Below are 13,506 nucleotides of genomic sequence, written 5' to 3'. Positions count from 1 at the left end.
GTGTAAAGGTTTTTGTGTAAACATGTTTTGCCGGGTCCTAGGGTAAGTGTATATTTACTTTATAAGAACCTACCAAACTGTTTTACAGAGTATTTTACTTTTTTTCCTTACCCACCAGGAATGCATAACAATATCAATGCTCTTCATTCTTGTTAGTACTTGGTACTGTCAGTTTTTAAAAATTTTTATTTTAGCCCTTCCAATAGCTATATAGTGTGGCTGGGCACGGTGGCTCATGCCCGTAATCCTAGCACTTTGGGAGGCTGAGGCAGGCAGATCACTTGAGGACAGGAGTTCAAGACCAGCCTGGCCAACACAGTGAAACCCCATCTCTATTAAAAATACAAAAAATTAGCCGGGCGTCGTGGTGCACACCTGTAATCCCAGCTACTCAGGAGGCTGAGGCATGAGAAACGCTTGAACCCAGGAGGCAGAGGTTGCAGTGAGCCAAGATCGCGCCACTGCACTCCAGCCTGGGTGACAAAGCAAGACTCTGTCTCAAATAAAATGAAAACAAAAACAATAGATACGTAGCGATATCCAATTGTGATTTTAATTTTTATTTCCTAATGGCTAATGATGTTGTGTATTTCCTTATGTGCTTATTTGCCATCTGTATATCATCTATGTTGTAGTGTCTCTTCATTCTCTTGCATATTTTGAAAAATTGGATTGTTTTACTATTGAGTTTTGAGAGTTCTTTATATATTCTAGATATAGGTCCTTTGTTAGATATGTGATTTGGAGCTATTTTCTTCCAGTCTTTACCTTATTTTTTCATTGTCTTAATAGTATCTATCTTTCCTAGAGAAAAGATTTTTTAATTTTGATAAAGCTCAATCAACTCATTTTTAAAATCTTATATATTGTATTTTTAATGTCATATCAAAGGGATCTCTGCCTAGCCCTAGGTCATAAAGATTTCTCCTATTTCTTCTTCTAAACATTTTATAGCTTTACATGTTATACTTAAATCTGTGATCTGTTTTGAGTTAATTTAATTTTTTATAAGGTGTGATGTTTAGGTTGAAGTGGTTCACATATTAGCACATACAGATATATATGTTCCAGCATAAGTTTCTGAAAATAAACTAAATTGTCTTTGTGTCTGTAAGAAATTAATTGGCCATACGCATATAAGCGTATTTCTGGAGTCTTTATTCTTTCTCAGTGATCTATGTGTCTATTTGTTTGCTAATACCACACTTTCTGATTACTGTATAATAGGCTGTGAAATCAGGCAGGGAGGCAGGGCCAATCCTCCAACTTTATTCTTCTTTTTCAGACTCGTTTTGATTATTCTAGTTCCTTGTATTTCCATATAACCTTTAGAATCAGTTTCTTTACACATTAAAAAAAATCTTTCTAGGGATTTTGATTGGAATTTTATTAACTCTATTTATCAATTTGTAAAGAATTGACTTCTTGACTGTACCCAGTCTTCCAATCCAAAAACATGGTATGTCTTTCCATTTGTACCCATACTTTCACAAAGTTTATGATTGTTTTCTTTTTGCTTATTTACTTACTTTGAAAGTTTATTTTTAAAATTTATTATTTATAAATTTCCAAGGCACTTTGGGGAAAAAAGAAAAAAAATTAAATTTTTGGTTATATTTAATTTAAAATTTGAAGGCCTTTCAGTAGGCAATGGAAAGGGCAGATCAGGACAGTAGTGGAACTGGAAATTAGAGATGCCCATCATGATGTTCTGAGGACAGACCAAGATGCTAGTGAGGTGAGAAATTCCAGTGAATAGATGCGGCATGTGGAGAGTATGATAAGAAGTGGCTTTGGTCAGGATCAGGGAGGACCAGAGAAAGGTAAAGGTTTTGGCAAAGAATCTTCCAATAATGAGACAAAGCCACATGTTAATTTGGGCAGAGTCTGAGTAGCATAAGAAGTCAGTCCTAGTTACTTGAATTTAGGAAGATGATGTCCACTGTCTATGGGAATGGAAATAGTTAACAAGGTCTCCAGGCTGAGTAGCAAGTGCTCCAGATACTCAAGGAGGAGTGCACCTGGCTTCTATGGAGAGAAACAAAGCAGTGATCCAAATTTGGACTGAACATCATCATGGGAGGATTGGCCAGGTACAATGAATTCTGAATCTTTTGAGAATCTGGACTAAAGCCCCTGAAATTCTACTTGACTAAGTCTTGAATTAGTCCTTGGAATGGCAGTTTTGAGCCCGAAGGTGGAATTCAGACGGGCTCAGTTGTGAGAAGAGGAATGTTCGGGTAGAAAGCCTGTTGAAGCGTTACTCATTTGTTCACTCATTTACCCAACATTTACTATATGAAAAGCATTCTTACTGTTATTGCTACCATCCACAGTAATGCTACTTGTGGAATGAGCAGACAGTATGCCTACACACGCTTGAACACACCCACCCATTCACACATGCGTGTACTCATGTACACATGCATGGGTGGCTGCACAGGAGGAATGGCAAGCTTTGGCCAAATGCCAGCTGGGAAACCCATGGTGATACTGAGCCTCAGCCTCAGGCACTGGGAGCCCCATGGATCAGTTCACAAGGTAGCCGCTAACATCAAAGAATGGCAAGATTGTTTCAAAACTGGGACAAAGGGTAGCTATAACCCTGAGGCCTCATGATGCCAGAGAATAGGTTGATGAATTTGCTTGCAATTAAAAAAAAATTCTAGGTAGTGTTTGAATACCTGGGCATAAGGACAAAATGAATTGGCCAAAGCCCTATTAAAAATATTAAGTAGTTCTTAATTTAGCTAGCAGCATGAGTGGGGCTATGGTTTTTTCCAACAAAAGAGATCAGCACCTTTTCTTCAGCATGTAAGAGCAAAAAGACAGCAAGTCTTTTGAACTTGAACTTGCTTATTATAAGCTCTTATCAAAAATCATCACTCTGTGTGTATTGATTTCTAGCCAACAATTAACCAGTTATGACCTTAGAGCCTTGATAATAACTGGGGAACTCACTCAACAGAGGGAAGCCTGCTTGTTTATGAACAAAGCAGGTGTTTATGGACCCCTTCAGCCTTGGGTGAGTATTTTTCCATCCAGGTGGCACAAGAAGTCACAAATACAGAGCTTCAGTGGATCCTTGTCCGTGAGCTTAGGCTGACTATCTGGAGAGGTGAGGATGTCTAGACCTGACTGCAAATGACTTAACATCAAAATTATGAGATCAGCCACCTGCTTTAGATGGTTGCAACTCAATGTCTATGTTCCCACATAATAGGATTGCTGATAATAATGTCATTTACTCATGCATATTTTACACTTTACAAAATGTTTTTTACAACCATCATAACATGACAATTTTTCCTGTATGATTCCATTTATATAAGTTCAAAACTAAACACAAGTAAACGGTATTGTTAATGCAAACTTAGGTGGTAAAACTATACAGCAAATCAAGGAAATGATCACAGTAACATCAGGAGAGTGGTGACTCCAGGGCAAGAAAGGCAGTGTGATTGGGAAGCGGCACATCGGTCCTTCGAGGTGCTGGCTCTTTTCCAGTTCTTCACTTGGGTGGGGCTTACACTGGGGCTTACATTGCAATAATATGTTAAACTGTACATTTATGACTTACGCACTTTGTGCGTCAGTGTATGTTTTATTTCACATATATCAAATAAAACAACAAACAGCAGACATAAAGACAAAAAGAAAAAGAAAATCAGTTTCATCAATGTCATTCTAACCAAGACTGGTTATTAGTTATTGTGATTCTTGTCTAGAGATGACTTAAAGCTATGTGCTATATAACATATGACTGCTTTGGTGGTATTTTAGGTAAATGCACATTGATCTTTCATATCCCTTATGTTTTTAAAGAAAAATCAGTATATCTATATAGTTCCAGTCTGGGAGCCCTATGGAAGGACTAAGAGACTTGCTCAAGTCACCTGGTAGTTAGTATTAGAATTTGAACTTGACTGTGGTTGTTTTGACTCCACATCTAATGCTCTTGGGTGGTAATACTAATATTCTCTTCCTGTCCTGAAAGACTCCACACATCTTTTTATTTCAAGGAAACTGAACTGAGTATCTTGGCTAATTGTAGAATTGTCCACTGGTTTTCAAACTTGCTTTAAAAGATGGAGTATGTTTGGCGCTGTAGTAGTCAGAAGTGCCAAAAAAAGGTTTCGTTCACTTAGCGTTGTGAATTAAGCCAGTAGGAAAATGCGCCTGATTTCGTCATAACAATAGCATCTTTAGAAATTAGAATCTTTTACATATAAGATTAAATCTCATCATAATATATTTGTAGAGCAAATATATTGTGTTCACTATAAAACATTCAGAGAAATTCAGAAGAGATAAAGAAGGAAATAAAAACCACCCATAATCCCAACCTTCAGAGGTAGGTACTGCTGAATTTTGATATGTCTTTAATCTACGCTTATATGAGAGTTTGCCAAATTGGTATCCTGAAAATGCTGTTTCAAAACTTGCTTCTTCAGCTTAATAGTGTATTATGGATATTTTTTCATATTAATAATTTTTCTATAACATAATTTTTAAGGACTGTACAATATAACATTGTATAAATGCATGTACCTGTTTTTTAAAAGCCAATTTTCTTTTATTGGCTATTTGTTGTTTTCTAATTGCTTCTATTATAAATACTGTTGCAATAAACATCTTCGTAAATAAATCTTTGCACATACCCAGTATTATCTCCTTAGAATAAATTCCTACAAGTGAAATCAGTGGGTCTGCGTCAAAGCGTATGCACACTTGAAAGGCTTTTGATAATATTTGCCAAATTGTGTTTCCGAAATATTACCTCAGTTTATACTCCCACAAGGAGTATATAAAAGTATTTCCCCAGCCACGGCAATACCAGATACTTGAACTTAAGTTAAAAAAAAATATTGTTATAGTATGGTTGAAATGTTTCACTTTTTTTTTTTTTGGTTTGTTTTAGCCCTTGTGTTGACTGGATTTCTTTCGTCTTTCAAGTAAAATTGTATGTTCCCTCTCCTGCAGTAGCCCTAATGATCAAATATGAATGATAGGACTCAGAAGTCTCACATGTATGCACATATTTTAAAATTTCCACTTAAAACATGAAGGGAATCCACTACTAAAAAGGAAGATAGTAGATTTTGCCCGTGTTAACATTGCTGTTCTCAACTGAATTGCTTATTTACCCTAACTAATGCTGCATAAGGCGTTCTAAGCACACTCATGTATTGTTAAATTACTTAACAATCATTCACAGAAATTGGAAATCAAATGAGCCCAGTGTATCAATTTGCCAAATTCAGCAAACTCTGGAGCAATCTGCTTATAAGACCTTGTGGGGGACAGCAGTCACGAATGGGTTAGAGAGCCCATTAGCTTATGAAAAGGGCTGTCAACACAATCATAATCTATTTACCTGTGTTTCGCTGACAGATTTTTTCTGAGCTAATGGTGAGAGAAAGCTATTTCCAACATTCATACTGAGACACTCAGCAGCATAATGGCAGGTTCAATCCCAATAAAGCAAAATAAAACAAATATTACTATGATGCAACTCTTTCTAAAACAGAAATAATGTTAGGCCCCAGGTGGAATTCCATTTCTTTAAAATATATATTTTTTATATTATAAAATCCTAACACAACAAAATAATTGGGACAATGTTTTGGCCTGCATTCTATTGGGATTTGACTGATTAGTGATAGCTTGATTAACAAGGCTTCTGGAAAGAAATCTCCATTGATTAAAACATCAGCCTAGGGGAAAGAAGTTTGGGAGAAGTATGGACTAGTTTCTTGTTATTCCCGAGCTCTAGAGGGTAGAACTGAGAAGGCGAGTGTGTGAAAGTGACAGAGGGTCTGGCTTTAGGTGGTCTGAAGAAATACATTTCTAACAATCAGGGCTGGTCTGAGAATGTCTGCTTTGTGAGGTAGGAAGCATCCTTTTTCCTTAAGGGAGGACTAGTTAGGAATACAGTTCCTTTATCATGGGGACTGGAGTCTGTGATTTCAGGCAGGAATCACATGAACATGGTTTGGTGGGTTGCTCCACCAAAATGGCTGTGAGCTCAGCAAACAAGAAACATGAGAAATGCCCAGTTAATAATTTTCAAGTGGCTTTTTTTTTTTTTTTTGGAGATGGAGTCTTTCTCTGTTGCCCAGGCTGGAGTGTAGTGACACAATCATGGCTCACTGCAACCTCCACCTCCCGGGTTCAAGTGATTCTCCTGCCTCAGCCTCCCAAGTAGCTAGGACTACAGGCATGAGCCACCACGCCCGGCTAATATTTTTATTTTTAGTAGAGATGGGGTTTCACCATACCGGCCAGGGTGGTCTCAAACTCCTGACCTCAAGTGATCTGCCCACCTTGGCCTCCCAAAGTGCTGGGATTACAGGCATGAGCCACTGTGCCCAGCCAAATGGCTTGTTTTTGAATAGTATACTGGTCAAAGACAGATCACAAGGGGCCATCATCAGTTGGGTTAGGCTTAGTGTTAGGGTAGATCATTCTCACCTAATCTCAGAGACACCTAGTTCTATCTATCAGAACCTTCACTGACAGACAGGTGGTTCTCCAGGGCAGGTCCCTTTCAATCAGTGACTTAAGGGTCCAGTCTAGGTTAATTTTGCATCTCCACTATCTAGACATATGACTTCTCTGTGACAGGGGAAAAGGCAGGATGGAGGACTCACATCCCTCTTCTTTGCTTCCACTTAGGTCAGTTCTACTTAGAGTCTATTGGCCAGAATCAGTTATGTGGCCCATTCTAGCAGCAAAGGAGAGCGGGGAGTACAGCCATCCTGTGTACCCAGGAAAAAAAGAGGTAAAATAGGTCTTATGAAGTGTTATTTTTGCCAAGGTGCTCAGGGGTTTTCTTTATGTTTACATTTTACCCTGGTGAAAAACATGTGTACTTTACTGTATTGTAGCAGAAATTGTACATGACTTATGCTTACCATATAGCATCACAGACAACTGATTTTATGTAGTTTGGGCAGTATTTTACTTATTCCACATTTGTAAAAAATGTTTTGTTTTGTTTTTGTTTGTTTGTTTTTGAGACAGAGTCTCACTCTGTCACCCAGGCTGGAGTGCAGTGGGACGATCTCAGCTCACTGCAACCTCTGCCTCCCGGGTTCAAGTGATTCTCCTGCCTCAGCCTCCCGAGTAGCTGGAATTACAGGCATGTGCCACCATGCTCAGCTAATTTTTTGTATTTTTAGTAGAGACAGGGTTTCGCCTTGTCGGCCAGGCTGGTCTGGAATTCTTGACTTCAGGTTATCTGCCTGCCTCTGCCTCCCACAAGGCTGGGATTACAGGCATGAGCCACCGCGGCCGGCCAAAAGTGTGTTTTGTGTGGGAAGTTGGGGCTATGTACTCTACCTGTGTATTCATGCCTTCTCTCCTGCCGCTGTGTTTATCTGGGGAGGAGCAATCAAAGATGGCTTCTGAGCCTCCAGTCTAGTTAAAACATTTTTCTGACTTTAAGTTCTGGATTCCTCAGTGCTGCACCCTCTGAACACTAGCTGTTGAGAAAGAGAGGTGTTATTAGTTTGCTGGGGCCATTGTAAACAAAGGAAATGTATCATCTCACAGTTCTGGAGGCCAGAAGTCTGAAACCAAGGCGTCAGCAGGGTTGCTTCCTTCTAAGGGCTGGGAAGGAGAACCTGCTCCAGGCTTTTCTTCCAGCTCATGGTGGTTTGCTGATAACGCTTTGGTGTTTCTTGGCTTGAAGAAGCATTGCTCTGATCTCCGCCTTCATCTTCACATGGCATTCTCCCTGTGTGGGTGTTTCTCTCAGTGTCGACATTTCTCCTTTTTACAAGGACACCAGCTGTATTAGAAGAGAGTTCACCCTAACCATCTCATTTTAACTTGATTACCTCTATAAAGATCCAGTCTCCAAGAAAGGTTACATTCTGAGGTCCTGGGGGTTAGAACTTCAGCATCTTTTTCTTGGGGGCGGAAAAGGTAGTGATGACACAATTCAGCCCATAACAAGGAGAAAACTATTCTTCTAAGCACAGACTTCTGACCAGCAGCCCAGGCTGGGCATGACTCCCACATGCTCCCACACCCCTTTGCCGGCCAGTGGTGTTTTGCTCTGGCTCTGCTCAGAGCCATGGCTAGTCCAGGACATGGGGGTGGTGCTGGTGAAGCAGACTGTCCATAGACTTTAAGAGGCAAGGAAGGCTGGACACTGTTCTGACACCAAAGGCCAGGGAATGAATGACTAGCTGTTTGACCATAGCGAGCTAGTGAGTTACAGTGGGGAAGAGAATCCTAATCACCACTGTCTGCCACAGTGAAGTTCCTTGACAAATGTGTACGAGGATCCCTTTTCTCTGGTGACAGACATAGAGTCAGGTACTGTGGCAGGTATGGTAGGGCAGCAGGGAAAATTATCGGACAAGGAGGTAAGAGACCTGAGTTTATACCTCCTGTATTTCCTTTTTGAGCTTCCATGCTTTAATCTATAGAAAGACCATGGAATACTATGCAGCCATAAAAAATGGTGAGTTCATGTCCTTTGTAGGGACATGGATGAAATTGGAAATCATGATTCTCAGTATATCTCAAGGACAAAAAACCAAACACCGCATGTTCTCACTCACAGATGGGTATTGAACAATGAGAACACGTGGACACAGGAAGGGGAACATCACACTCTGGGGACTGATGTGGGGTGGGGGGAGCGGGGAGGGATAGCATTAGGAGATATACCTAATGCTAAACGATGAGTTAATGGGTGCAGCTCACCAACATGGCACATGTATACATATGTAACTAACCTGCACATTGTGCACATGTACCCTAAAACTTAAAGTATAATAATAATAATAATAATAAAAAAGAAAGGCTGGGGTTGGTAAACTCTGAAGTTCTTGCCTGCTTTCAGCCTCTGTTAGATAGTTGGTGACACTGAAAAATACTAAGGCATCATAATACAAGAACTCATGACTGAAAGGGTCTATATGCCTTTCTGGGCCCCTAATCTCCTAATCTAGCATGACTTCGGTACAGGGAAAAGAGGATCACAGACTGTGGCTTATGTGCTGAAGGTCTCACTCTGGCAGACATGCTTGAATTCAGTCACTATCTATATCTGTATCTATATTGATGTATCTATCTCAATCTCTATCTCTCTCCCTCACACACACAGTTTTGTTTTTGGCTGGGGGAGGAAGATATTTTTAATAGCAGGTTTTTTATTCTCTCTTTTTTTCCTGGAAAAAGATGAAATCATCCGTTTATTCTGGACCAATTATAAGCACTAGAAAGCGCAGGAGGAACAGACAGCTTCATCACAAATAAATACACACTGTGGGAGGGGGAAAGGAGGAAACTGTTATTGATTGGCCTTGTAAAATCTGCTGCTGAATCGATAGCAATTTCTGGAAATGCCAGACATTTATTTTGTGTGGCTTGAACAGCGGAGATAATAATAAACATACTTATGAAGTGAGTCTCCTGACACTATTTCCTAGAGCCCCTTATAATAACATACATACATAATGGGTACTATAACTGTACAAGCCATAGTGAATATACTTCAGATTTAAAACCCCAAGCCGAGTTGCCCTCTGCTAACCTCTCTTCTGTGCTGGATATAGCATCTGAATGTCTTCTCTGTTAAAGAAACACAGACAATTCATCTGCATGAAGAGATAAGAGATGTGTCCTCCTTAGTTGTGGAAAGACAGGCCGAGGATTGCTCTAATGGTCAGGGAAGAGAATCAGATGCTGAAACTGCCTGACCCTGCCTGGCCACTCTGAATTTGTGGACCTGCCCCTTCACCTGCGCCTCTCTCAGAGCTCCATTCATCATTTCTTTCTAACAAGGGGCAGCTTACCTTATGTGGATGCTGTCTCATCCCCACCCACCTTTCATCCTCAGCCAGTCTCCTTTCCTCCTGGCATAATGTATTCTTTCTGTAGGCACATTTGGCAATCTTGCCAGGGCCATTGGCCTGAGAAAAGACTCAGGGGTATTTTGGCAAAAGGGAAATTGTTCAATGTGGTTGAGCATAGTACAAGTAGCTACCATTTATTGAGCACCTATTACATGCTATATAATTTATTCACCACGTTGCTTATTCCTCATGACAGCCCTTTGAGTTATTATTTTAAATCAAGTTTTTAATGAAACGGAGACTCCTCAAGGTAAAATATGTTACCTAAGATCATTAAACTATTACGAGACTGAGCTGGAGTTGAGCTCAGGTCTGACTTAGAGACTGTATTTTTCCCATCCTTCTTTTACCTGCTTAGGTGTAACTGGGATAGTGAGAGGTAAAGCTATATACCATGAGTGCCTGGTGAAGGTATCTGGACATGATTACTGTGCCATAAGGAAGAGATAAGGTTTCTTTGAAAATGTAGATGGTGCAGAGTCCAGTTTTAGGGAGATGATTTTGGTGTTTGTGTTTAGCATGGAGTGATGCAGAGAAACATGCAGACTGGGAGACCATGTAGAAAGATACTGCAGCAAACATGATGGGGAGAAAAGAAGCTCAGACAAGGAGAGGAGGCGGAATCATCAAGGAGTGGCTCTTGACAATTACAAGAATGGAAAACTTTCCCTCTTCTCTCCTCTTGTTCTCATCCCTAGCTCTTCCTCCCTTCCTAGCCACTTTACCTTCTCCTATTTTGTGATAGTGGGAGAGCTCCTTGGAAAATATTCATTCCCAGGATAGATCTCTCAATGCAAAGCCAATCTCAAGTATATTGTTGGATATAGATATGTTCTGAGCTAAGAATAGATGAAGAAGATCACTTTTCCACCCTGATTTTAAAATATATGCCCTTTTAGTTTGGCACTGCTAAGAAGAATTTGAACTACTAATTTGGATGATAGGAGGTGTTATTTCTATAAATCAGCAGATTTCTGGATCTCTGTCTACGTCCCATCTTTTCATAATCAACCTGTAGTCTTACAAGACAGTCTTTATGGTTTTGAAAGCCACAAAAAGTCTTTCCCTAGAGATCTGGCTTGGTACAGAGAGTAGTGCTTTCCCTCCAATTACACAAGAAACCAGCTCTCTTTAGATGCTAAGTCAATCCTTGCCTCAAGAGCCAGTCCTAGAAAACAGCTCCCTAAATACTTAAAGATGCAAAGTCAATTAGACTTTTTGGATGGACTATCATGTAGGGAACCATGTGAGTTACTGAGTTTTTAATTCTTCAGATGTTCTTTGTGCATGTATTTTGTGTCATGCCTTGTGCCAAGGCCTTTGGAGAAGGCCAAGAGGAATCATACAGGGCTTCATCCCTCAAGGATCTTATAATCTAGTAGTGGAGATAAGTTTATATTCACATGTAACTTCTACACAGGCAATAGGCAGTCCACACCACAGAAGTGCCACAGATAACGTAGGTCATAATTCTAAGGGAAATAGAAAAGATAGGTTGTAGTTTCTAAATGACCCTTAAATGGGAAAGAAAAAATTTGCACTTTTGGGGGGTGTCCTAAGTATACAGAATAACTAGCAAGTTGAGGCAGCAAGAAACCATGAAGAGTTTTCAGGGAATCCCGACAGAAGTCCAATTCACTGAGATTCTAGGTCCTGTGGAAGGGAAGAGCAAGAGATTAAAGAGGTAGGTAAAAGTTACATAACGAAGACTTTAAACAGCAGTCAGATATGTTACATATTATTCCAGAGGCAATAATGAAGATTCATGACAGTTTTGCAAAAAGGAAAATGGCATGGTCTCTCAGTATTTTAAAGAGGGTATGACACTTTATCTGCAAGGATGAGACACTGGGGTAAGAAATCCAGTTTTAACACCATTTCAAAAGTTCAGTGGAGACTTTCACTTCTGGAAAGATTGAGTAGACACACTTTTCTCTCTTCCTCCTGCTGAGTGCAACTAAAATCCTTGGCTGTTCTACACAAAACAAATGTAAGAATATTCTGATAGGTAGAAAAGAGAAGGCAGGCTAACTAGGGGTTCAAAAGCCAAGGAACAACATAACGGTGAGTTCCCCCAGCTTTCTTGTGTCTCTTATATTCCAGACTTGGAGCTGAAGCCAGTAACTAGAAGCACCTATGAGTACGGACAGAAAAGCCTCAGCAAAAGCCTGCTGTCTTTAGCCAAAGGATCAGGAAAGGGAAAGCATGGCAAGACCGAAATCTTTTAGATGATAGCCATTCTATCTCAACCAAAGTGATAAAGGGGTCACTCAATCAAGAAGATATAGCAATCCTAAATGTGTATGCACCATAGAGTAATGTTGTAAAATATGTGAAATAAGAACTGATAAAACTGAAAGAAGAAATAGACAAATCTATAACTATAGTTGGACATTTTAATAACCACTCTCACTCATGGCATGATCTCTCACTCATGCCAGCAAAAGCCAAATGGAAAACCTAGACTTCTGCCCTCACTGGGCTGTCCTCAAACTCTTCCCTGCACTGGGGTGATATTAGAAAAAGCCGAGTAAGGGGCTAGAATGTTCCTCCCTGCGGACTGGTAATCAAACACCCTCCCTCACCATCATTGTGTAAGTGGAGACCACATGGATAGCCCAGACTCCCAGTTCGACCCAGCAGTAACGAGGCACCTGTCCCCTCCCCACAGAGATGGTGGGAAAGTTAGCCTGGTGGAGAGTCAGAGATTTACCACCTTCTTTTTGGTGTCAATGGAGACAATATGGGAAACAGCAATGAGGCATTCCTGCTCCTACTAGCCAGGAGGTATCAGTGCAGGCCTATTGAGAGCTAGAATTTCTCCTCTTGCCCAGCGGTAATGACAAGCCACCACCCTCATATGTAAACTGAGGCTGAGTGTAGAACTTGGATTTTTACTTCCACCTGGAAGTAATGAAGTGACACCCCTTTGTCTGAAAAAATAGTGTCAAAAAAAAAAAAAAAAAAAAAGCCAGCTGAAAACTTCTCAGATTTGGCAAAAGACAGATTCACAAAATTGGCTAAGCCTCAAAGGAAATAGACTCACAATAAATTCATACCAAGACATACCATAGTCAAACTTCTGAAAACTAAAGACAAAGAAAATCATTTGAAAGCAGCAAGAGAAAAATGATACCTTCCCTATAGGAGAAAAGCAATTTAAAAGATGTAGATTTCTCATCAGACACCACATAGGCTAGAAGGAAGTAGCACTAATATTTTTCAAGTTTTGAAAGAAAACAACTGTCAATCCAGAATCCTATATCCAGCAAAAATATCCTTTAGGAGTGAAGGGGAAATCAAGACATTCTAAAATGAAGAAAAACTAAGAGGATTTGTCACCAGCAGAATGTCCCTAAAAGGATAATGAATGGATGTACTTTGAACAGAAAGAAAGGGTAAAAGAAGAAACCTTACTATATAAGGAAGGAAGAAAGAATATAGTAAGGAAAAGTATGGGCAAATGCGAAAGACCTTTTTTCTTCTTTTGAGTTTTCCAAATTATGCTTGATTGTTGAAGCAAAATATAGCAAACCATATCAACATTACACTTTGTTTTAACATTACGCAAAGCATAACGTTGTCTGACATGGTCTCAAATGTATGTACAGAAAATATTTAAGACATTTGG

At 39.8% G+C, this 13,506-nt stretch overlaps 1 long non-coding RNA gene across 1 annotated transcript in view, besides 1 other annotated feature; it reads left to right on the top strand.

Moving 5' to 3' along the window:
- Nucleotides 1-13,506, top strand: part of LOC107986166 (uncharacterized) — a 48,325-nt gene that overhangs the window by 13,342 nt on the left and 21,477 nt on the right. The gene's annotated exons all lie outside the window — the stretch shown is intronic.
- Nucleotides 12,481-12,775: a silencer, noted in NCBI's record as "tiled region #1686; HepG2 Repressive non-DNase unmatched - State 23:Low". NCBI's record gives its function as "represses a minimal TATA promoter and a strong SV40 promoter by Sharpr-MPRA in HepG2 cells {active_cell/tissue: HepG2}" and the evidence as "EXISTENCE:reporter gene assay evidence [ECO:0000049][PMID:27701403]".

The sequence above is a fragment of the Homo sapiens genome, chromosome 3, assembly GCF_000001405.40.
Source record: "Homo sapiens chromosome 3, GRCh38.p14 Primary Assembly".
Taxonomy (NCBI): domain Eukaryota; kingdom Metazoa; phylum Chordata; class Mammalia; order Primates; family Hominidae; genus Homo; species Homo sapiens.
The sequence above is the reverse complement of the archived record's forward strand: the minus strand, read 5'-3'. Positions and strand labels throughout refer to the sequence as shown.